Source organism: Homo sapiens, chromosome 4 (genome assembly GCF_000001405.40).
Source record: "Homo sapiens chromosome 4, GRCh38.p14 Primary Assembly".
Classification (NCBI taxonomy): Eukaryota; Metazoa; Chordata; class Mammalia; order Primates; family Hominidae; genus Homo; species Homo sapiens.
Window position 1 is genome coordinate 4,224,092 of NC_000004.12, and position 24,809 is coordinate 4,248,900.

Sequence of the window (24,809 nt, forward strand, 5' to 3'; positions counted from 1 at the left end):
TAATCCCAGCACTTTGGGAGGCTGAGGCAGGCAGATCACGAGGTCAGGAGTTTGAGACCAGTCTGGCCAACATGATGAAACCCCGTCTCTACTAAAGATACAAAAAATAGCTGGGCATAGTTGCAGGCGCCTATAATCCCAGCTACTTGGGAGGCTGAGGCAGGAGAATCGTTTGAACCCGGGAGGTGGAGGTTGCAGTGAGCCGAGATCGCACCATTGCACTCCAGCCTGGGCGACAGGGCAAGACTCCATCTCAAAAAAAAAAAATAAAGAAGGAAAGGCAGAGAGGAGGGAAGGCGAGGGAATAGGGAGGGAGGGAGGAGGAAGAAAGGAAAGGAGAAGGAGGGAAGGAAGAAGGGAGAAAAAAGGATGGAGGAGAGAAAGAAGGAACAAAAAAGGGGCTTTGACTATAGGAAAACACAGGTAAAGGCTCATGTGTATAATACTTTTTAGCCTGTGTAAGTCAATATCCTAAAATAACACTTTGTGCCTTGTTTTAAATAGCACCAGATTCACTGTCATTCACAGAGTCACAAAACCATTAACTTCCCTAAAACAACCATTTTCAGAACAGGAATTTGGGCCACGCTGCAATGGTGTCAAATTTCCCCAAAAGCAAGATGAACTAGATCCAGTCCCTGAGCCTAAGAAGTCTAAAATCTCTTCTGGATGGTAAGGCTAATATCCAACAGTCATAATACAAGGCAGAAACGGACAAGGACCAAAAGAGCTTTACAGAAAGGGGGCCATGGTGGCCCATAGAAGTGAGGAGTAATTCCTGCCAGGCATTTGTGAAGAAGGTGGCATCTGGCCAGGACCTTTGAAAGAAATGTGGAAAGGAGGCCTAGTGTGTGCTGGGCAGCCACCTCATCAGTCACTGGATCTTATCCAGTTTGAGATCCCCATTCTACAGATGCTGAAACCAGGGTTCAGGGTAAGGAAGGCAATCAGGTAACTTGCCCAAGGTCATGCATGCAAGGAACACGGAAGCCCCACTCTAATGGAGATTTAAATTCAGGTCTAATATGAGAGTCCAAGTGGCAATGTGTGATGTGCCTGGACCACGTGGTGTGAAATGCACTTGGCCTCTCCTGGGAAGGTTACTCAGACAGAAGCTTTCTTCACAAGCATGCTCCCCATGGCCTCCTCCCTTTCACCTGCACCATGTCTGTCTCCCATTCAAGACTGGCAGCCCCAGCCAGGCACAGTGGTTCATGCCTGTGATCCCAGCATTTTGGGAGGCCAAGGCAGGAGGATCCCTGGAGGCCAGGAGTTTGAGAAAAGGAGACAACACAACGAGGCCCTATCTGTACAAAATATAACAAAACTTAGCTGGGCAAGGCCATGTGTGTCTATAGTTCCAGCTATTCAGGAGGCTGAAGTGGGAGGATTGCTTGAGCCCAGGAGGAAGAGGCTGTAGTGAGCTGTGATTGTGCCACTGCACTCCAGCCTGGGAGATAGAGCAACATTGTCTCAAAAAAAAAAAAAAAAATGTGGCAGCCCCTTGAGGAAGAAAGAGCTCCTATCTTGACAATTTCAGCCAATGCCTGTGAGTACCAGCAGGAGCCTCTATCCCTCTTTGCCCCACCCTGCATCCACGCATTCATTATTTCATTCATACCCCCTCATTTTCTCAACACCCACTTCGTGCCAGGCCCTGAGGTGGCTCTAGGACCGAGAGACAGGGATCACAGAGCTCCCCAGTGGAGTGGAGGGTACAGACATGTTGACAAGAACACTGGAGCCCAGTGCGGGCTGGGGGCATGTGGTCAGACCTGCAAAGCCGGGAGGAGAAGGGGGTCGGAGAAGCTTCGCGGGGAGAATGGGGTGAGGCCTGAGCCCTGTCTCGGAAAGCAGAGGGGCAGGTGGGAAAGTGGAAAAGACATTCCTGGAGGAGAGAACCGAAGGTGCCGAATGTGCAGAGGCAGAGGTCCTGCGATGGGCGAGAAAGTTCGCGAGAATGACCCCAGCACAGGATGAGAACAAAGGAGGGGATCAAAGGAAACGGGCCCTCGGGGGCCGAGTGCTAGAAGGCTCTGAGTGTCAGGAGAGGGAGCGTGGCCTCCATCATGGGGTCAGTAGGGCCACTGCATGGCTTTAAGTCAGGGAAGGACAAGAGAGGTTTCTGTAACTGTGGCTGTAATGATGGAAGCGTCTGGAGGCGGAGAGGAGGCTCCTGCGGCGACCCAAGCTTCAGAGAGAGAGAGAGGAAAGGAAGGGCAGACAGGAAAGCTAGGAAAGATGCACAGAGAGACCAAGGCAGAAAAGGCTGAAGGGAAGACGGCAGCGGTAGGAAGGGCGCAGAGCAGCCTCAGGATGCAGCCAGCGGGCGAGGAGGCGGAGACCCGCTCGCCCGGCGCCTGGACTCACCGCGCAGCCAGCCGGCACCCGCGTGCGTGTCCTTGAGGCGGAAGAGGCGGCGGTGCGCGGAGCTGCGGCCCACGTACCACAGCATCCACAGCAGCTGCAGCAGCATGAGCGCCGTCAGGAAGCACAGCAGGTCGCTCTTGCTCACGCCCGCGGCGTGCACGGCCCAGGCCAGCAGCAGCAGCAGCCCCGCCACGAACACGATCAGCCCATACTGGCTGCTCAGCATCTCGGCCAGTTTCTGTGGGACGCTGGCGCGCACACCGCCCCGCCGGGGGGCCGGGGATTCCGGGGACCTCGGGGCCGAGGACGAGGGAGGCGAGCAGGCCGCTGGCCCCGACGACCCTGCGACCGAGGCGCTTGCAGCTGCCCGGGGCGAGGCGGGCGACCCCAGGCCCTCGAGCATCTTCGAGACACCCGCGCCAAGTCTGGTCCCGGGGGTGGCTGCCGTCGGGCCCCGCCTGCGCTCCTGGCTCCTGTCCTTGCCCCGACGCCTCTGCCAACCAGCACCTCCCTTTTCAACTCCCTTCCGATTCCTACCCCACGCCCCTGCCAACCTGCCCCCTCTCCTGTCACCTCCCGACGCCCGCCCTCCCCTCTTCTGCCCCTTCGTCCTCCGTCAAGGTACCACCCTGTCCACTTACCCAGCGCCCCACCCTGCTGACCTGGGATTCTACGAGCTCCCTTGCCCGCTGCCCCTCACTGGGCAACGCCCGGGGCAGCCATCTGCCCCCTCCGGGACCCACGCGGACAGCTCCCCGCTCCTGATCCCTGGGACACTGGCCAGCCCTGCCGCGACACTAGCGCGTCCTCCCGCACCTCCGCCCGCGCGCCCGGCCCCCGCCCGCCGTCTGCAGCCCTCACCCCTGAGCCGACGCCCGCCCACCCAGCCCCTGTCCGGGCGCCCCGGAAACGCTGGGTGACAAGAAGTGCCTGCCGGGGTCCCGGGGTTGCGGGACTGGGGAGAGGGGGTCTCCCGGAGCCAGCCCGAGGGGGGTGTGCGCGGGGGGCGTGGCTGCTGCCAAGCGGGGCGTCCGGGGCTCCACAGGGGCTTGCGATGCTCCGGGCCTTCCCCGAGGGTCTCCGTTGGGGAACCCAGAGGTCCAGGGGATCCTGCCTGCGTCCGTGTCCGAGCGTCCGACGGTCTGTACTCGTCCCTGCGTATTTCTGTATTGTCTTCTCTGTGCGGGTCACTCTGTGTCTGGCCGTCTGTTATCGGGTGTGTCTGGTTAGGGGTGGAGGAGCGCCCGTCACTGGCTCTCTGAATTGGGGGAGGGGCCGCCTTCTGTGGGTTTTTCTGTTTGTCCGTCTGGTGTGCCTGTGTGTCGGCTGCGAGATGCCCAGGCGCAGAATAAGACCTGAGCCACTTTCTAAGAAAAGAGACCATCCCGCACCCTCCCCCAAAGGAGCGGCAGCCGTTCTGGACCCAGAGGAGCTGGAATGAGGGACGCCCCGGGGTCTGCCCTGTTGCTACCGGCGCCCAAGCGTCTTCACTAGCCCCTTCCAAAGCCCCGGTGCCCGCCTGGCACCCGCCTGCTCCCGGAAGGGGACTGAGTCTGCCAGGGAGCCCCGCTCGGGTGCCGCTAAGTGGAGGTCTGGGAAGTTTCAGCTGAAGAGCGTTCTACGGGTCTGGCGTGGCTGACAGGAGGCGCCGGACCCCAGCCCCCCAGCCGCAGGTTGGAGAGGGGAGTTGGGAGCGAGCCTGGGGCAAGCCCACATCCCACCGTGCAGCAGCCCGGGGCTGGGCCCGGAAGACACCCTCTCGCTCTTGGTTTAAGGTTCTTGCCGTCTTGAAATTCTTAATTTTTGAACAAGAGGGCCCATGTTTTTGTTTTGCGCTAAGCGCAGCAAATTGCAATAGCAGGTCCTGACTAGTAAAGGAGGGGTGGGGAGTCCTGGGCTAGCAAGGAGTCAACCTGGGGGACCTTACCTTGCCACCATCATTCTTCCAATTCACGCATTCATGCATTTGATCAACACATATGTATGTGTTGACCTATGAATCATTTGCTGCTCTCTGTTCTAGCAGCTGGGTTTTCAGCTATGAAAGGCTCTGCTCAGGTGGAGCTGATGTTCAGGTAGAGAAACAGCAATAAACAAACAGCTAATGAGCCCTCACTGGGAAGCTGGGGATCATGACCTGTGAGACTTAGCCCTCAACTTCTAAGAGCTTGGGAGTGGGGACAGAGTAAGCAGCACAACACCCTTGAGCAGGGCTACAACCAGGGGCCTGGGAGGAGTCCAGGTCTGCAGGAAGGCTGAGAGGTTCAGGGAGGAGGCAACACCTGCACAGTCTTCTTTCTTTCTTTCTTTCTCTTATTTTTATCTTTTAATAAGGACAGGGTCTCCCTGTGTCTCCCAGGCTGGAATGAAGTGGTGTGATTATGGCTCACTACAGCCTCGAATTCTGGGGCTCAAGTGCTCCTCCCGCCTCAGCCTCCCGAATAGCTGGGACTACAGGTGTGTGCTACCACGCCTGGCTCATTTTTTTTAAATTGTTTTTTTGTAGAGACGGGTCTCACTATGTTGCTCAGGTTGATCTCAAACTCCTGGGCTCAAGCCATCCTCCTACCTCAGCCTCCCAAAGCACTGGGATCACAGGCTCCAGCTACCACGTCCAGCCTCCTGCACATTCTTTAGGCTTAGGAGTGGATGGTCAGGCGGAAGGGAGCAGGGGTCTGGAAAGGCAATCCAGAGAGAAGATCCAGCAAACCTACTAGGGACCCTCCACCTTCTCCCCTCCTCTTCCTACCAACAGCCAGAGCAACCTGGGAGCCTGAGCTGAAGATGGAAGAGCCTGTCTGCGTGTCTCCCCAGTGACTAGTGAGGCGGCTTTTCCTCCCGAAGCTGGACCTTACATCAGTGAGAAATAAACTTCCATTGTGCTAAGCCACCAAAGTCTGAAATGTTACAGCAGCTAGCAGTACCTTAACCCGTTGAGTACAAAGATAAATAAAGCTCAGTCACCATCTGAAAATCAAGTGGAATGCCTGTCTCTGGGCTACCTGCACTTTTTTGTTTGTTTGTTTGGTTGGTTGGTTGGTTTTTTGAGATGGAGTCTCACTCTGTTACCCAAGCTGGAGTGCAGTGGCACAATCATCTCAGCTCACTGCAACCTCTGCCTCCTGAGTTCAAGCGATTCTCCTGCCTCAGCCTCCCGAGTAGCTGGGATTACAGGCGCCTGCCACCATGCCCGGCTAATTTCTGTATTTTTAGTAGAGGTGCGGTTTCCCCATGCTGGCTAGCCTGGTCTTAACTCCTGACCTCGTGATCCACCCCTTGGCCTCCCAAAGTGCTGGAATTACCAGCATGAGCCACCCCACCTGGCCTGCATTTTTTTAAGAAGCAATGAAATGAAAGTTTCTGGAGGCTAAAGTCAGCCCCCTTTATTGTAATCTCAAGACAATGTTAAAACTCACTGAGAGCCTGTAATCCCAGCACTTTGGGAGGTCGAGGCAGATCACTTGAGGTCAGGAGTTCGAGACTAGCCTGGCCAACATGGTGAAACACCGTCTCTACTAAAAATACAAAAATTAGCCAGCGTGGTGGTGCGCACCTGTAATCCCAGCTACTTGAGAGGCTGAGGCAGGAGAATCTCTTGAACCCAGGAGGCAGAGGCAGAGGCAGAGGTTGCAGTGAGCCAAGATTGTGCCACTGGACTCCAGCCTGGATGACAGAGTGAGACTCCATCTCAATAAATACATAAAATAAAACTGAGAGATTTACCCACACTGTGTTCTATCTTCCACCGGTGAGATTTTTTTCAAAAGTCTGAGCTACACGGGGCCCCCAGTTTCTTACGACTGACCCCTGCTCCGTGGTGGGCAGATACAAGGGGTCAGAAACGATGCTCTGGTGGCATCCAGGCCTGCTGTTTTCACCACATTTGGCGCATCTTACCCCTGCCCACACTGTGTCCTGAGAGCTGTGTGGCATGGCTCAATCAGTGTAAAAGCTGGAAATGTCCTGACCAGGCAGCTGCCTCCCAGTGATGATTCAGTACCACGCAGATGGATGGGGAGGCATGCTGCCCTCGGACACAGGCTCCCTTCCTTTTTTTCTTTTTTTTTTTTTAATACTTTAAGTTCTAGGGTACATGTGCACAACGTGCAGATTTGTTACATATGTATACATGTGCCATGTTGGTGTGCTGCACCCATTAACTCGTCATCTACATTAGGTATTTCTCCTAATGCTATCCCTCCCCACCCCACCCCACAAGAGGCCCCAGTGTGTGATGTTCCCCTTCTTGTGTCCAAGTATTCTCATTGTTCAATTCCCACCTATGAGTGAGAACATGCGGTGTTTGGTTTTTTGTCCTTGCGATAGTTTGCTCAGAATGATGGTTTCCAGCTTCATCCATGTCCCTACAAAGGACATGAACTCATCCTTTTTATGGCTGCATAGTATTCCATGGAGTATATGTGCCATATTTTCTTTATCTAGTCTATCATTGATGGACATTTGGGTTGGTTCCAAGTCTTTGCTATTGTGAATAGTGCTGCAATAATCATACATGTGCAGGTGTCTTTATAGTAGCATGATTTATAATCCTTTGGGTATACCCAGTAATGAAACCACCAGGTCAAATGGTATTTCTAGTTCTAGATGTTTGAGGAATCGCCACACTGTCTTCCACAATGGTTGAACTAGTTTACGCTCCCACCAACAGGGTAAAAGTGTTCCTATTTCTCCACATCCTCTCCAGCGCCTGTTGTTTCCTTTTTAATGATCGCATGGGCTCCCTTCTTCCAGTGAAGATAATGGGATTTCACAGGGCCAGAGGCCCACTGGCACACTCAACTACCGGAGACAATAGAAGGTCCCAAGGGACAATTAGAACATTTTGCTCCCAGTCACCTTTGGTGGTAGCTATGTAATCCCAGTATTTTTAAGAACAAAAGAGTTAGTGTATTCGTTTCTGTTCTTTTCCTTTTTTGAGACAGAGTCTCAATCTATCGCCTAGGCTGGAATGCAGTGGCCTGATCTTGGCTCACTGCAACCTTTGCCTCGTGGGTTCAAGTGATTCTCCTGACTCAGCCTCCCGAGTAGCTGGGATTACAGGTGCACACCAGCATGCCTGGCTAATTTTTTGTATTTTTAGTAGAGATGGGGTTTCACCATGCTGGCCAGGCTGGTCTCGAACTCCTGACCTTGTGATCCACCCACCTCAGCCTCCCAAAGTGCTGGGATTACAGGTGTGAGCCACTGTGCACAGCCAAGTGTATTCATTTCTTAGGATGGGTGTAACAAAGTGCCACTAACTGGGTGGCTTTAAAACAATGAAAATTTATTCTGTCACAGTTTGGGAGGCCAGAAGTCCAAAATCTAGATGTCCGAAAAGCCAAGTTCCCTCTGAAGGCTCCAACGGGGGGTCCTCACCAGCCTCTTCCAGTTTCTGCTTGTTGCTGGCAACCCTTAGCATTCCTTGGCTTGTGGCTATATCACTCCAATCTTTGCCTCTGTTGTCACTTGACCATCTTTCCTCTGCATCTGTGCCTCTTTTCCTCTTCTTATAAAGACACCAGTCATAATGGGTTAAGGGCCCAACCTACTCCAGTATGACTTCACTATAATTTACATCTTAATTAAATCTACAAACACTGCATTTCCAAATAGGGCCACAATCAGAGGTACCAGGGGTTAGGATTTCAACAGATCTTCTGGTGAGCAAAAATTAAATCCATAACACACAAATGATAGTCAAGATATGGAATTAACCTATGCATCCATCAATGGATGAATGGACAAAGAAAATGTGTGTATGTATACACATTGTATACATACACAGCAGAATACTATTCAGCCTTAAAAAGAAGGAAATGGCCAGGCACAATGGCTCATGCTTGTAAACCCAACACTTTGGGAGGCCACGGTGGGTGGACCGCTTGGGCCCAGGAGTTCAAGACTAGCTGGGCAACATGGCAAAACCTCAACTCTACAAAAAAAAAAAAAAAAAAAAAAATGCTGAGTGCGGCGGCTCAAGCCTGTAATCCCAGCACTGTGGGAGGCTGAGGCGGGTGGATCACCTGAGGTCGGGAGTTTGAGACCAGCCTGACCAACATGCAGAAACCCCGTCTCTATTAAAAATGCCTGTAATCCCAACTACTCAGGAGGCTGAGGCAGGATAATCACTTGAACCCGGGAGGCAGAGGTTGTGGGTGAGCCAAGATCGCGCCATTGCACTCCAGCCTGGGCAACAAGAGTGAAACTCTGTCTCCAAAAAAAAAAAAAAAAAAAAAAAAATTAGCCAGACCCAGTGGGGCGCACCTGTAGTCCCAGCTACTTGGGAGGCTGAGGTAGGAGGATCATTTGAGCCTGGGAGGTCCAGGTTTCAGCGAGCTGAGATTGTGCCACTGCACTCCAGCCTCGGTGACTGAGCCAGACCCTGTCTCAAAAAAGAAAAAAAAAAGAAATCCTGACATTTGCAAAAATATGGATATGAACCTGGAAGATACTATGTTAAGTGACATAAGCCAAGCACAGAAAGACAAATGCCACATGATCTCATTTACATGTAGATCTAAAAAAGCTGAGGTCATATAGGTAGAGAGTAGAATAGTGGCTGCCAGGAGCTGGGCAGCAGGGGGAATTGGGGGTTTGGGAGATGTTGGTCAAAGGGTACAAAATTTCAGTTAAGTAAGAAGGGTATGTTCAAGAGATCTATTGTACAGCACAGTAACTATAGTTAATAACAATTTATAGCATTTTGAAAATTGTGAAGAATAGATTTTAAGAAATCTCACCACAAAAAATAAGTATGCAAAGTAATGCATTGATTAATGAACTCAATCTAGCCATTCCACATGTACCCTTGGACTTCAAAACTTGGAAAAAATGAATGGAAAATATACACTTTATGTCTCAACATAAGCTCCATCAAGTTCAAGACACTTCTATAAGTCAGGCTACAGCCATTTAGCCCACCCCTAAGGAACTGAAGGTCCTGAGAATTTCACCATACCAATGCAGTCTTTTACACATTAACTGAAGATAAAAGGGTACCCTCTACAGATTTTTTAAGATTAGGAAACAAAAAGAAGTTAGGAGGAGCCAAATCAGGACTGTAATGATTTCCCATCAAAATTCTCCCAAAATTGCCCTTGATGAGAGGAATAAGCAGAAGCACTGTCATGGTGGAGGAGGACTCTCCTGAAGCTTTCCCAAGAATTTTTTGCTAAAGCTTTGGCTTCCTCAAAACCCTCTCATAATAAGCAGATGTTACCATTCTTTGGTCCTCCTGAAAGTCAACAAGCAAAGTGCCTTGAGCCCCAAAATACTGTTGCCATGACCTGTGCTCTTGACTGGTCTCCTTTTGCTTTGACTGACCCGCTTCCACTTCTTGGTAGCCATTACTTTGATTGTGCTTTGTCTTCAGGATAGTACTAGGAAATCCATGTTTCATATCCTGTTGCAACTTTTTGAACAAATGCTTCAGGATCTTGATCCCACTTGTTTAAATTTCCATTGAAAGCTCTGCTGTTGTTTGCAACTGATCTGGGCACAACAGTTTTGGCGCCCATCAAGTGGAAAGTTTGCTTTCAGTCAGAATTGTGTAACCTGAACCAATTGAGACGTCTCTGACACTGTCTATTGTTTCTGCTATTGCTAACTGCTGTTAATCATCAGTCCTCTTTGATTAGGGCATAAACAAGATTAATTTTTTCCTCAAAGATTCATGTGTAGGGTCTCTCACTGAGGGCTTCCTCTTCAACATCATCTCATACCTTCTCAAAACAAGTTATTCATTTGTAAGCTGTTGATTTCTTTGGGGCATTGTTCCTATAAACTTTTCATGAAGCATTAGTGATTTCACCATTTTTTCACCCAAGCCTCACAATAAATTGATGTTTGTGCTTGCTTCGATTTTAGCAGAATTCATGTTGCACTGATGTGGTCTCTTCTCAAACTGATGTCTTATCCTTCTTAGTGTCTCAAACTAGATCCTGTTCAGACATGTTATGACAAGTTAAAGACTCTGTCTCAAAGTCTTTTTTTAAGTAATAGGATAATCTTCATACCATCCTAATTGGCCAGTTATTAGCTCTTGGGAAACTGGGTTTTAACTAATTGTTTTAAACACATCCCAGCCTTAGATTTCTATCCATGTTGTAAACATACTCTTCAAGAAAAAAAAAAAAAAAGATATAAAATGTGTGAAGGCTGACACTGGGGCACTCTCCACCCAAGCTCCCTCCAGGGAGTCTGATCCAAATGCCCTACCTTCCAGGGCTGCAGCCTCAGTTGTACCAGACCCTCACATCACTGCCTGATTAATCACTGCCTGACTAGGCTGCCTGATTGTGGCCTTTGCCTGGCCTTGCTCCCTATTTTAAATGACACTCTCGCCACACCTTCACATACCCATGACCACAAACTGGGTTTGCTTCTGTCTACTCATCATGCCTTTCCCCTTTGCAGACATCATGACCGGATGTGATATTCCTGATCCTAGATCCTGCTTTCCCTTTCTTTCCCTCTCCATTACCATTTATTGAGTGGACACCTACTGTGTCAGGCACTGTAATTGGTGTTTTACAAACATTATTACTATTACGCACAACCCTACAAGACAGATATCGTTCCCACTTCACAGCTGAAAAAAGATTACAGTCTGACTACCCCTTCTCTGAAATGCTTGGGACCAGAAGTGTTTTGGATTTTGGAATATTTGCATTATATTCCAAAACCCAAAATGCTCCAATGAGCATTTCCTTTGAGTGTCACGTCAGTCATCAAAAAGTTTCAGATTTTGAAATTAGGGATACTAAACCTGTACTACTGAAGGTCTTGCAGCTAGTAAATGGCAGGGTATGATCTGAACCAGACACAAGTGGTGATTAAGTCAGGTCATTATTAGAAGTCACCTTACAGAGAAAACAATCAACATGAGATACATTCTGTCACAATGCTTATGCTGCTTAGATTTAATGTAGACATATTGGCATTTGAAAGTGCAAATACTGTCTTTATAAGGTCTTTGAAGAACAGAGTTAGCCCTTGTTATTGCTACAGTTAATTCAAAGTGCTAATAGCTAAAAACCAGAAGTTATTCCAAAGTTCGCATGAACAAAACTCACAAGAAAGTTATAAAAATATTTTATTTAAATGATACAGAAAAAAATGTATACTTAAAAGTGATTAAAACTTCACATTAGGAAATGCTAAAAACCCAGTAATGTACATAATGATAAAATCTAAAGTGATGAGAAAACATAAAATATTTTCATTTGGTCCTGTCACCTAACAAAACTATCATAAATATGAGATTATAGTAATTACTAAAGCTGGTTAAAGGCACATGACAACATAATTCCTTTATACACATCCAGTCATTTTATACAAGGAACTGCTATCCCTTAAATGGAAGAGTGAACTACTTGTTTAAAATATTAACAGTGCACTATGTACCTACAATGAAACCACTTTCTCCAAAGACTCAAACAGATTAACATTGCAAAATAGTACTTCTGTATCACTGACTTCTGAAAATTTTAATAATTTATGCATATGCAAGTGAAATATAATTTATTCTGGTTTCAACAACAGTTATACAAAGTCACAATTTTCCCCAGGAAACCATTCACTTCATAGCTGCAAAAACACACTGTAGCTTTTCTGTTAGGGTCTGCCATGCTTTCAGCTAGCTGGATGTTTAACCATTCACTTCAAATTTACATGTCCAGCCAGGCACGGTGGCGTGGGCCTGTAGTCCCAACTACTTCGAAGGCTGAGGCAGGAGGATCACTTGATCCCAGGAGTTCAAAGACAGCCTGGGCAACATAGAAGACCCTGTCTCTTAAAAAAAAAAAAAAAAAAAAGTGTATGTCCTTAAATCTGAAAGAAAACCAGCATTTATGTACCAAGTAAAACATTGTATCTCAAGCTATTGCATTTAACACTAAAAAGCATAGTTCACTCTGTAATCTACAACATTGTCTGAGTCTCCATTACCAATTATAACTTCATGTCAGAGTAAGAGCTCCCAAACATCTGTAAAAACTCAAAATTCAAGAGTCAAAGAAGGGGCTGAGAACACGAGAAGGGGAGATGGGTGACAGGGTCAGGTGAGGAAGTGTTCTGAGATGTGTAGGATTCCTCCGGGCCCAAAGCCGCTTGTGGCACCACAGGTGTACAGGAATGAAGGGCCTCCTGTGAGGGTTCCCAGTGGTCCCAAGACACAGCAAGGTGCCTGAAGGAGGCTGGAGACATTGGCGTGGGCATGGAGGTGCTAGCAACTATTTTCAGACTGCTAACAATGAGAGTATGTCCATTTCTTCTTTACACAGTTACCACTGACCTTCCTTTAAAATCCCACAGGGAGAACATGCTGTTTTTAGCAGAAATGTCAGTTTTCATTAACTCCTTGAAAATTTAGCGTATTAACTTTTATTTCCATGAGCTTCAGTTTCCACACCTGTCAACTGCTGTATAAAGCAGGTTTCCTGCAAGTTCTGATGTAAGTGACCTGACAGGAGGCACTATCTTTGTCCTTCTCACCATGCCCCTAAGCATCTGGAGTGAGTATTCTCAATATACACTTATTTAATAACAGAGTTATCCGACACTCAGAAAACAGCCTCCACTGTGTAAGGCAGCAGATCTCAGGATGGGGTGATCTGTAGGGAGGCAGAAATTCTATAAATAACACCAAACGAAAGCTGATTGTGTCATCCAACACATTTTTATGAGGAAGTCAGAATAATTAGAAGATGGCAGAATTTTTTTTCCCAATTAGGTAAAATTGTTCATTCTTCCTGTATTCCCATTTCTTAAGAATGATCCAGCCAACAGTCACTGAATATAAGCTGACACAAATTAATATAATTTCAACATAAAATGGTCTAATGTGTGAATTCAACTATATTGGAAGGTACAAATCCTGTCTTTATGAGGTCTTTGAAAGGCAGGGTACCTTCTCTAAAAAGTAGTCACTTAGAACCAACTTTTACAAAAGAAAGAGTCTCAGCCCCCAACCCCCGCCAGCCTGGGCAACATAAGGAGACTCTGTTTCTACAAAAAAATTTTTAAAAATTAGCCAAGCATGGTAGCACATGCTTATAATACCAGCTACTTGGGAAACTGAGGTGGGAGGATTGCTTGAGCCCCCAAGTGGTCAAGGCTGCAGTGAGCTGTGATCATGCCACCGTACTCCAGCCTGGACAACAGAGTGAGAAGCTGTCTCAAAACAAAAAGGAGTCTATCTCAGAGTTCAATGAATGGATAATTCTAGTGTGGACAACTCTGGTGTAAACATGACTGAAAATAATTCACAAATAGTCTGTTACAGCTCCATCCACTGAAAATTGTCATAAAAGACATTTTTCAAACGAGTTCATTTTTAGAAAAACCACTCCAGATATCTTACCTTCGGAAATCATCCAAGGAGTGTGATAAACATGACAACCCCCATAAACTGGGTAAACAACAACAATGGAGTGAAAAACGACCACACATGCCATAAAGCAATGTTGAAGCTGAAAAGAACAAGACATAAACAGTTGACAACTCCAATATGCATCAATATATTTTATTCTAGAATCCAGATTTAAAGTATTCAATGTAGAAAAGTTCATCCAGTCAGCAACTTTCTCTATGTATCATATTTCTCAAGTATGTGACTTAGCCAATGCTGGAAAGGAAAACTCTAGATATACTTAAACAAGTATCACAATTTCTTCAAGAAGGCCCTGGAACTGGAACCACTAAAGGTCTCCTAATAGGGGTTGACATGGCTTAATAGAAACTGAAGTCTCTTAGTTTCTGACTTCAACAATAATTTAAATGGCTACAGCCCATTTTTATGACATCACACACTAAACTATCATGGTAAAAAAGACCAAAATATTGTCTCTTAAAAACAGAATGAAAACAGTTATCACTTATAAGCTGCTATTATATCTTTCATTGAGAAAAACACTATTCCTGTCATCAAAGTAAAATTAAAACACTAAGTATAAAGATTTTTAATGACTGAAATTTCTAAGAACAGAATAGGGAAAACTATATTCAAATAAGTTCAGATGGTTATTGGTTTTAATATATAATAGTTTGATAAGTATGAGTATTAAATAACTATAATCACAAATCACACTGTCTAAAAAATTAACATTTCTGGACATGATCTTACCCTCATGGGAAAAAGTAAAACAACGTATCTGCATGCCCCCACATACAGGTTAACAATAACCACATCACACTGTCAAACAACCTTGAACTTCAACTACAGAAAATAAGTCATAGAAAGAATATGTATAAAGGTATATGGTTCTTCCAAAATAAAAATTCAATTAGGCCGGGGGTGGTGGCGCACGCCTGTAATCCAGCACTTTGGGAGGCCAACACAAGCAGATGGCTTGAGGCCAGGAGTTTGAGACCTGCCTGAGCAGCACAGCGAAACCCCATCTCTACAAAAAATACAAAAAATAGCCAGATGTGGTGACACATGCCTGTGGTCCCAACTACTCGGGAGGCTGAGTGAGGCAGGAGGATCACTTAAGCCTGGGAAGTCGAGGCTGCAGTGAGCTGTGATCATGCCACTGCACTCCGGCCTGGGTGACACAGTGAGACCCTATCTCCAAAAAGAAAAAAAAATCCAATTGATATAAAGAAAGAAAAAACTAGAGAGCTGCACACAACATAGGAAAAGTAGTTTTCTTTCTGGTTGAATCATAGGATATATTTCCTTTGTGTTTTCATGTAATTTACAGATTTTTTTTCCTCAGTGAGCAAGTATTACTTTTATAAACCCAAAAAACCCTGTATTTTTCATTGAGTATTTAATTAACTTATGAAGAAGGTTATTCATTGTGGCATTGTTTGGGTATAAATATAACGAAGTCCAACAACAGAAGACAGGTTAAATAAATCATGTTATGTCCATGCTGTGAAAACTATGCAACTGTTTAAAAAAATGAGACACATCTATATGTACCATTATGGAAGAATCCCAAACTATAAGGATCCACTGAAAAACAAAAGGAGAAAAGGACAAACAACCACTTTGGAAAGCAGTTTGGCATGATTTACTGAAGTCAAAGGTACGTACATCCAACAATTTTACCCCTTGGGGTACATATATATACATATATACATACATCTCTACACCCAACAGAAATGTGTTCACTGTGCTACAAGAGCCATGTACAAGAATGCTCTTTATAGCATCCTTCATAGTAACCCCAAACTGAAAAAAATCTAAACACAATCAACAAGGGAAAAGAAAACTGGGATTCAATTAAACAATGGAATGCTAAAGAGCAATGAAGATGAGTCACTGTTCCCGGCGACAATATGAAAGAACTGCACACAATGCTGCACACAGCCAGCTCAATGTGAAGGAATACACCCTGTACAAATCCATTTCTATAAAGTTCAAAAGCGTAGCTGAAACAAAAATAGAATATCTAATGGAAGCAAAGCAAGTAGTTACCATGAAGGTCAGGGCAGTATTTACCTGTGGCAGGAGGGAAGGTGTAGTAACTGGGAGGGAGAATGAAGGGGGTTCCCAGTGTGCTGGCTCAGTTTACACCAATGCTCACTTCATGAGAATTCATTCACTAATTCATTCATCTCAGTTTTTTTCACTTTTCTATATGTACTGTATGTCATAATAAAATAGATTTAAAAAGCAAAATGCAGAATATGTACAGAATGTCACCATCTGTGCTTTAAATAACTAGATCCATAAATAGAAGGAGAAAGAGATACTAATCAAAAGGGAACCAGAGAGCATGAATGACCAGGAGACTATTTTTCTGTTTTAACTTTTTTTCTTTCGAAGTTTGGACCAAGCATATCACTATCTGATCAAAAAAAAAATTTGTTGTTCATTCCTGTTAGTCATTTCAAAGTTAACTTACCAAATTCCTGCTGCAATAAAGGAGGCAGTGGTAATGGGTATCAAGGCTGGATACTTGACATCATATTCTCCAATTCCACAATACCATTCCAGGTAGACTATGCAGTAAAATGCAATTGATAAACTGACAAGCAACAAGGCACTGCCACAGAGAAACCAGCTGTGGAGATAAAAACAGTAAGAGGTCTGACAGCACTTAATGAATCGTCACATATCTTAAAAGTTTTTACTAATAGCTTAAAAATCTGCTTCTAAGAATATCAAGTGTTGCAGAGGGAGCCATACTTAAACAATCCATGCTTTCAGAAAGTCTCAATCTATGGGAGATGGGGGTGAGAAAAAGAGATACACAACTCAGGAAAGAATGAAAAGTAAGACTTGAAATACATGCATTTATATATACACTCTCATCAGCCAACCAACCAAGGGAAAATTCTGGTCATGACAATGCATTTTCTTTAAAAATACAAGGAAGAGGCCGGGCGCAGTGGCTCATGCCTATAATCCCAACACTTTGGAAGGCCGAGGCAGGTGGATCACCTGAGGTCAGGAGTTCGAGACCAGCCTGACCAACACGGAGAAATCCTGTCTCTACTAAAAATACAAAATTAGCCAGGCGTGGTGGCGCAAGCCTGTAATCCAATCTTCTTGGGAGGATGAGGCAGGAGAATCGCCTGAACCCAGGAGGCAGAGATTGCAATGAGCTGAGATGGCGCCATTGCACTCCAGCCTGGAGTGCCTGGGCAACAAGAGTGAAACTCTGTCTCAAAAAATAAAATAAATAAAAACAAAAATACAAGGAAGATAGTGGCTTTCTGGTTGTTTCTGAAGTTTTGAGTGTGACAGGATTAAAGAAGTTTATCAGTGGGAAACTTCATTCCTCCAAGTTAAGTGGACTTTCTTGGAATACTGAAAGACAATTAGGAAGATCAATAATTCAAATTTTCTCTCATAAAAGATTTCTAAATGAAATCCTCCCATTTTCAAAATATCTTCTACTCACCACCTCACCCTCAATGCCAATGCCTTTTTACTCCCTTCCAATTCCACCTGTGACCTGATTCAGCAAGAGTGAGGCAACCTGGACAACCCCTTCCCTCCACCCCAGCTGGACTTGGGGACTGAAATGCCTTTCCCATTCTCCCAACTCAATCCAATATCCCATCATCATCTGCTTCTCTATGGGAAAAGCCTGACAATCCATGTGGAAGAGAGAGGGAGAACAGATGGCTACAACAGATAAGTTACAAAGGCACAAAGTGAACTTCCAATAATGGCAAGGTTCCGGATTCCATGAAGGCTTTTTACGATGATGCAATTCTGAGATTCGGAGTCATGAGAGGCTGTAGAGGGAAGGGGTTAAGAGCACAGCCTCTGAAATCTGTCTGTATGGGTTTGAATCTTAACTTGAGCAAGACTAGTTTTGTGACTCTAGGCAAATTACCTAACCTCCGTGTGTTTCAGAAATATTGACAGTACTTAACTCAGAATAGCTGTGAGAATTAAATCAAGTGGTCAGCAAAGTGCTCCTCACAGCTGACTCTCAATCATAATCATTATTATTCCACTCAAGTTATTTTTATTTTCATTCATTTATTTCTGAGCCGGAGTCTTGCTCTGTTGCCCAGGCTGGAGTGCAGTGCTGCAATCTCAGCTCACTGCAACCTCCGCCTCCCAGGTTCACCAATTCTCCTGCCTCAGCCTCCCAAGTAGCTGGAATTACAGGCACTGGCCACCACGCCCAGCTAATTTTTGTATTTTTAGTAGAGATGGGGTTTCACCATGTCCATATTGGCCAGGCTGGTCTCGAATTCCTGACCTCAAGTGATCCACCTGTCTCAGCCTTCCAAAGTGCTGGGATTATAGGGGTCAGCCACCATGCCCAGCCATCACTCAAGTTATATCTATGAGGAAAAAATGTCCATGTTCATCTTTAGGAGTCTTCAAAGACCTCTCTTCTGCTAGAGCATGCAATCTCACTGGGGGGAGTATCGCCCCCAAAGTGAAGAAAAAAATATGGCTCTAATTGTATGTATAAAGCATAGATATGCATGCAGTATATAAATGATATAGTTTATCTAATTCCACATTCCACAGGAATGATTAGGAAAAAAATGTCTAAAAAGGCCTTTTATCATTACCCCTAAGGAGTCTTTTTAGACATTTTTTTCCTTTGCCAACATGTGGATATGAGAAAAAAAAAATTTTTTTTTTTTGAGACGGAGTCTCGCTGTTGTTGCCCAGGCTGGAGTGCAATGGCACGATCTCGGCTCACTGCAACCTCCACTTCCCAGGTTCAAGCTATCCTCCTGCCTCAGCCTCCTGAGCAGCTGATATTACAGGTGCCCAACACCACACCCAGCTAATTTTTGTATTTTTAGTAGAGATGGGGTCTCACCATGTTGGCCAGGATGGTCTTGAACTCCTGACCTCAGGTGATCCATCCACCTTGGCCTCCCAAAGTGCTCGGATTACAGGCATGAGCCACCATGCCCGGCCTAAGAAAATTTTTTAAACTGCCTGAACAAAATATAATACTATCAGTCAGTGGTCCTCGGCCCTGGCTTTATATCACAGTCACCTTGCACCTTTCTAAGAGAAACTACCTAGTCCCCAGTTTCCAAAATTCTGGGCCTGAGCATCTAGGATTTTAATTTTACTTTCTGTCTTTAACTCCACTGTTGATTTTGATGCACACAAGCCGAGTATTTTAAACTGTGATTTCTAAAGCATCACAGTGTTGTTTTGTTATTATTTATTTACTTATTTAATTTTTTTAAGACGGAGTCTCGCTCTGTCGCCCAGGCTGGAGTGCAGTGGCGCGATCTCGGCTCACTGCAATCTCCACCTGCTGGGTTCACGCCATTCTTCTGCCTCAGCCTCCCAAGTAGCTGGGACTACAGGCGCCCGCCACCATGCCCAGCTAATTGTTTTTTGTATTTTTAGTAGAGACGGGGTTTCACCGCGTTAGCCAGGATGGTCTCGATCTCCTGACCTCGTGATCCGCCCGCCTCGGCCTCCCAAAGCGCTGGGATTACAGGCGTGAGCCACCGCGCCTGGCCTGTTTTGTTTTTAATATGGACCTGCTCTCCCATCTTTGAACAATATAAAGAACCTTAAGGCCTCAAGCTTCTAAACTTAGGCTAGAGCCAGAGGAAAAAGAAATCACCTCAGGCGTCAGAAGAACGAGCCATTTTAGCCATTTTCCAAAAGCAGAACTCAGCCGGCACTGTCTTTTGTGCAGCCCTCTCATTTCATGGCTGTTCAATACCCCCCAACTCCCCTTAATGAGTCCTTCCCAAGAAAACAATGCGACTCAAAATCCTCAGCCTTTGAGAATGCATTTCTGCCTTTTTCTCTCTAAGATGACACCTTGTTGAGGACAGATCTATGACTTCTACTTTCTTTCCAACCCCCACAGCCCTGGTCCCAGTGTCTGCGTCCCGGCTTTGCCACACAGCAGTTATGTGGTCCTGGGCACTCCACTTCACTGCAGTTGCCCCCAAATATCTTATGTGTGATCATTTCTTACTCTGCCATTTCTCTAAACTACTAAAAATACCCAATATAAGGACACAAATACAGAAGTTCTCTCACATCTCCTAAAACCTCAAAAAGGTCTCAGTCCTGAGGCTGACCTGGACTAGATATCCCTCCTAGATGCTCCCATGATACCCTGCGCCTACACTTACAAAGCACATACCATGCGGCCTGGTAACTTGTCTGCTGCAGCCTAGAATGAGCTGTTGGAGAGCTAGAAATGCACCTTCCACGTGTTTGGCACTGACAGCCAAACACATCTCAGCCTCCATAAAGTATCTGATGAAGGAAAGAGCAGCTGCTATTGGTGGTGGTTAAAGTACCCATCCCCTCCAGCCAGGTGCAGTGGCTCACACCTGTAATCGCAGTACTTTAGGAAGTCAAGGTGGGAGGATCACTGGAGCCCACAAGTTTGAGACCAGCCTGGGCAACATGAAGAGACCTCGTCTCTACAAAAAATAAACCAAATTAGCCAGGCATGGTGGTGTGCGCCTATAGTCCTAGCTACTTGGGAGGCTGAGGTGGGAGGATCACTTGAGCCTGGGAAGTCAAGGCAGCAAGCCATGATCGCACCACTACACTCCAGCCTGGGTGACAGAGTGCAGCGAGACCCTGTCTCAAAATAAAAATAAAAATAAAGTATCCATCCCTCTTTTCCCAGCCCAAGTTCTAAGAGAGATGACTGAGTCAAGCTGATGAAGATTAAATGTCTGTTATACTGATGCAGCCGTGGGAAGAATATGGCTTTGGTGAGTGATGACAAAGCACTTCCTAATACTGGGTCTCTGACACCCAGAAACAGCCTTACCCACTGGGTTCCAGGTCAAAATGAAAACCTAGAGACCTTTTCCTGTGGGGACTGCCCCTGTGGAATGACACCATGGGAAGGCAGACCAGACTCTGCGCTTCCTATGGGCAGCCGACTTGCAGCAGAAGAAGGTGCTGAGCTACCTTTGTCCAGTTCTTCATCACACACTCAATCAGTCACGCCACCTCCCACAAAGGAGTGAGTGACATGGAGGGGCAGAAGATGGGAGTGTTTAGGGAAAGTTTCTCCCCTAGAAAGTAGAGGACAGTTTAAATAAACTCCCCTCTGCCTACTTTCCCCTGTGGGCTTTTTCCTTGTGGCTCGACAGTCTCCTCCGCCAGAAGTCACTGCTCCTCCTGAAGGCCCTTGAGGAGAAATCATGTGTCCTGCCATGATACGAGGGGACCACAGTCCTGTCTGCATCTTCCTACCCCCACTGGTACTTCCAAATTATTACTCTTGACCCTAAGCACACCAGCCCTCCCAATGCCATGATGCTCACCAACATACCTCTCCCTTCCATTTCTTATCCAAGGGTCTCCACATCACTCTCCAATGTGCAGTAAGGACCCTAGGATATGATTCCAACCCTCTCCTCCATGTCAACTCTGGAGACTATACTGAAAGGATCTCAGTCCCTGTGAATGAGGAACTACTGGACATCTGGTCTGGCCACAAAGCTGTCACTCCTCCCACTGTGGACCTTCACCTCCACTCTAACACAGTTACACCCTGTAGTTACCTTGTCAGCTGTAACCACCCTCTGAAACCAACCCTGAGACCCAATTCCCACTGGCCACAGTTCTCGGCTCTTCCTCCCAGTACTCTTGTACTTGGTCTTTGAAGACCTTCAGTCAGTCTTTCTCCCTCTTTTCCCCAAATGGATTAGGTTCTTCTTAAATTTACTACCTTCCTCATCCTACAACACATTTATTTGCACACAAATAATTTCCAGTTCTATTCCACTCTACTGTATGTGCCCAGAGCACACACCCTCTCATTGGTTTTATTTTTTCCAGCTTTATTGAAGTACAATTGACAAATTAAAATTTTATATATTCAAGGTATACAGTGTGATGACTTGATATATATATACACACACACATGAATATATACATATATACATATATATGAATATATATATACGTGTATACATATACACACACACACATTGTGAAATTATTACCACAATCAAGTTAATTATCACACTCATCACCTCACATAGTTACCACTGGTGGGGTAACAGGGGGAGGACACAAGACCTACTCTTAGAAAATTTCAAGTATACAATACAGCCTTATTAACTATAGTCACTATACTGTATGTACATTAGATCTCCAGACCTTATTCATCTTATAACTAAAAATATGTACCCTTTGACCCCCATCTCATATTCATCTTCGTATCACCACACCTCCAACACAGGGCCTGGCAGAGAGTAGTAGGTGCTTACTGTTTGAAGAATTCAACTAACAAAATATAACACGAAAAATCAGACTTGGGTTTAATTTACAAAGCAATAAAATTTTCTTACCTGCTAGTGTGGAAGTTTTCTTTAAGGGTTTTAAAGAAGTCAACATAATAGGTCACAACAATGGATGCCAAAATCCAGAATCCAGAATGGATATTAAGTCTTGGAAGAGGTTTCTCCTTTTTCTCAACAGCTGTGGAGGTTTCTGCAAATAAGGGAGATTTCAACTTATTAAGTTACCACAATTTTGCGAGGAAAAATTACACTTAAGCCAAATAAAATCATTTCCTAGAGCTAAGAAACAGTCTCTCCCATGATAACAAATCCTTCTGTAAAACCCTTGAGATAGGTTTATATTTACAAAAAATAAGAGCCCACTATAAAATATGGTCAATACAGTCAATTTATTTCCTCTAAATACATTGTGAAATCAAATTTACACTTTCATCGTCTTTCGGAAATAACAATGTCACCTGGAAATGTAAGAATTTTAATATTATGTTTCACATTTCTTCTAGGAAAGTAATTAGTCTTGTTAATTAGGAAAAATGCCAAAGGCAAACATTAGCGCATGAACTGGACTTGTGGTCTTCCAAGAACACTTTTATAACTAAATTTTTTTTTTTTGAGTCGGAGTCTTCCTCTGTCGCCCGGGTTGGAGTGGAATGGTTTGATCTCGGCTCACTGCAACCACCGCCTCCCGGGTTCAAGCAATTCTCCTGCCTCAGCCTCCCGAGTACCTGGGATTACAGGCGCCTGCCACCACGCCGGGCTAATTTTTGTATTTTTAGTAGAGACGGGGTTTCACCATCTTGGCCAGGCTGCTCTATTTGGCCAGGTTGGTCTCGAACTCCTGACCTCGTGATCAGCCCGCCTCAGCCTCTCAAAGTGCTGGGATTACAGGCGTGAGCTACCCTGCCCAGCCTATAACTAAATATTTTAGTTACTTTAAACACAGCTCAAAAGTGGAAACGGCACACCAGAGCTCTAGTTCCAGCACAGCACTGTCTAGACAGGTGATGGACAAGACATTTTTCCTGTCTGGAACGCAATCTGAAAGAATGGGTGGATGGGGGTTGGGTCAGATGGATGATTTCTATTAAGTTTTCCGGGGATTCTGACATGCCCTCTAGGTTCACGTGAGAATCAATGGTCCACATCTGAGGTTTTGGGCCTTTAGATGACCATCGGAAACCCTGGGAAGCATGTTCGTAATATTCTGGGATATCCTCAAAATGTATACATCATCATGCCTGGGCATGAGGTTATTCGTGTTTTTAATTTTAAAAGGTAATAAATGGACGTGGTTTTAAAACATATGAGATAAAAAATATCCAAAATGAAGTATCTGTCTCCCATCCTTAACCTCAGATCTAATCCCCAGAAGCAACCACCACTTACAATTTCTACTGAATTCTTCCATATTCTATGCATTCACAGGTGAACATACATCACAAGTTACCTGTTTTGTACCCAAATGGCGGCATACCATAGTGTTCCACACTTCCCTTTGAAAATCATCCCCATTGGTACATACGAGTCGACCTGATGTGTCAGGTATACATATACCCAAATTTACTTAAACAGCTTTCTGCTGACGGGCAAGGCAGATATTTCCAGTAATTCGCTATTACAAGCAATCCTGAAGTGAAACACTGCGCACATCATTGTACACTGCGGTACACGCATGTTTCTGGTAAATCCTTAAGACTTAAAACTGGTGGGTATTTTTAATTTTAATCGCTATTTCCAAATAGGTGTCAAATCAGCTCTCCAGAGAATTCTGAAGCGCAGCTGAAATGACGATGCACAGCACTCCGCGATTCTAAGGATCTTCCCTGACATTAAATATTCGACTTGCAAAGCCGAAACTCAGTCCTTCCAGACTGGGCCAGGGCTGCCGGAGGCCGGCCGTTTTCCGACGCCTCGCCTCTGAGAACCTCGGGGCGGCTTGGTGCGCGCCTCACCCGGCCCGGCGTCACCCTCGCGGTCCAGCTGGGCCTCGGCGTCCGGCAGGAGGAGGAATCGCCGCCGGAGCTGCTGCCGGGCCCGCGAGGAGTCCATCTTGGTACCGCCCCGAAATGCGACGGAAGTGACGTCAGACACAGCGCTTCCGGCGTCCGCTCCGGGTCTGGACCTCCTGGCGTTTGGATTGGAGACTGTGTTCTCTTCGCTGTTTAGTTAGCGAGCAGCTAGGGTGGAGTCGGCCTCAAAGGTTCCGCTCTCATGTCGGCAAGTGTGATTTGAATTTTAAAACACTGAGCTTTGCCGGTGGAAGAGTTCCCAAGTTTATTCCGACCTACGGAAGCCCAGGAGGACCAGGATTACCGCTGCCGCTGGATGCGTCCAGGGCCGGGATGCGCGACCGTGAGACGCTGCGCTTCCGAAGCCCTCGCAGGCTTCCGGGTGCCAGAGCAGGAGACATACCCTCTGTCCAGCCTTCCACTCTCAGCCCCCAGTTTTTTTCCTACTTTTGCTTTTCAGGAGTCGTCCAGCAAGACTTGAAAGGAGGAGAAAGGCCTGCTGGACAGGATGCTAGAGCCTGGCAGTGACCACTTGGGGGCCCTGGGCATTAAATAAACTTCTTGGGGCCCGTTTCGTTATTACACTTGGCTCTAGATTTGTTGTGCGTTTCAGTGAGAAGTACCTGTATGTGGTTCATGTGAGCCTCCTCCTCGCCACTTGTGAAAAATCCTCCCAGCCTGAACCGAGGGAACTAAATTGCTTTCCCAGCAAACTGCGGTTTTCCACACTGCTCACGC

At 45.9% G+C, this 24,809-nt stretch overlaps 2 protein-coding genes across 5 annotated transcripts in view, besides 4 other annotated features; both read right to left on the reverse strand.

The window, feature by feature from the left end:
- Positions 1-2,838, reverse strand: part of OTOP1 (otopetrin 1) — a 38,204-nt gene extending 35,366 nt beyond the window's left edge. The window contains exon 1 of the mRNA NM_177998.3: positions 2,371-2,838. Within this exon, the coding sequence (NP_819056.1) occupies positions 2,371-2,773 (403 nt within the window). The 5' untranslated portion in view covers positions 2,774-2,838. The remainder of the gene's footprint in view (positions 1-2,370) is intronic.
- Positions 1,968-2,588: an enhancer, noted in NCBI's record as "H3K27ac-H3K4me1 hESC enhancer chr4:4227786-4228406 (GRCh37/hg19 assembly coordinates)". NCBI's record gives its function as "activates a minimal SCP1, AML or CMV promoter by ChIP-STARR-seq in primed H9 embryonic stem cells {active_cell/tissue: H9 hESC(primed)}" and the evidence as "EXISTENCE:reporter gene assay evidence [ECO:0000049][PMID:30033119]".
- Positions 3,210-3,830: an enhancer, noted in NCBI's record as "H3K27ac-H3K4me1 hESC enhancer chr4:4229028-4229648 (GRCh37/hg19 assembly coordinates)". NCBI's record gives its function as "activates a minimal SCP1, AML or CMV promoter by ChIP-STARR-seq in primed H9 embryonic stem cells {active_cell/tissue: H9 hESC(primed)}" and the evidence as "EXISTENCE:reporter gene assay evidence [ECO:0000049][PMID:30033119]".
- TMEM128 (transmembrane protein 128) lies at positions 11,451-24,132 on the reverse strand. 4 transcript variants are annotated; one of them, NM_001297552.2, is made up of 5 exons: positions 24,015-24,132; positions 22,111-22,252; positions 16,230-16,388; positions 13,736-13,844; positions 11,451-12,163 (listed from the first exon to the last, which is right to left on the reverse strand). In NM_001297552.2, exons 1-4 carry the CDS (start codon positions 24,109-24,111, stop codon positions 13,745-13,747), a joined length of 498 nt encoding a protein of 165 aa, NP_001284481.1. In that variant the 5' UTR covers positions 24,112-24,132; the 3' UTR covers positions 11,451-12,163; positions 13,736-13,744. The 4 variants fall into 4 exon arrangements, with proteins under 4 accessions (NP_001284481.1, NP_001284480.1, XP_005248091.1 ...); NM_001297551.2 differs by having other exon boundaries at positions 11,451-12,165; XM_005248034.4 differs by having other exon boundaries at positions 11,451-12,986.
- Positions 23,474-24,100: an enhancer, noted in NCBI's record as "H3K27ac hESC enhancer chr4:4249292-4249918 (GRCh37/hg19 assembly coordinates)". NCBI's record gives its function as "activates a minimal SCP1, AML or CMV promoter by ChIP-STARR-seq in primed H9 embryonic stem cells {active_cell/tissue: H9 hESC(primed)}" and the evidence as "EXISTENCE:reporter gene assay evidence [ECO:0000049][PMID:30033119]".
- Positions 24,403-24,512: an enhancer, noted in NCBI's record as "active region_21227". NCBI's record gives its function as "activates an Ori minimal core promoter by ATAC-STARR-seq in GM12878 lymphoblastoid cells {active_cell/tissue: GM12878}" and the evidence as "EXISTENCE:reporter gene assay evidence [ECO:0000049][PMID:35858748]".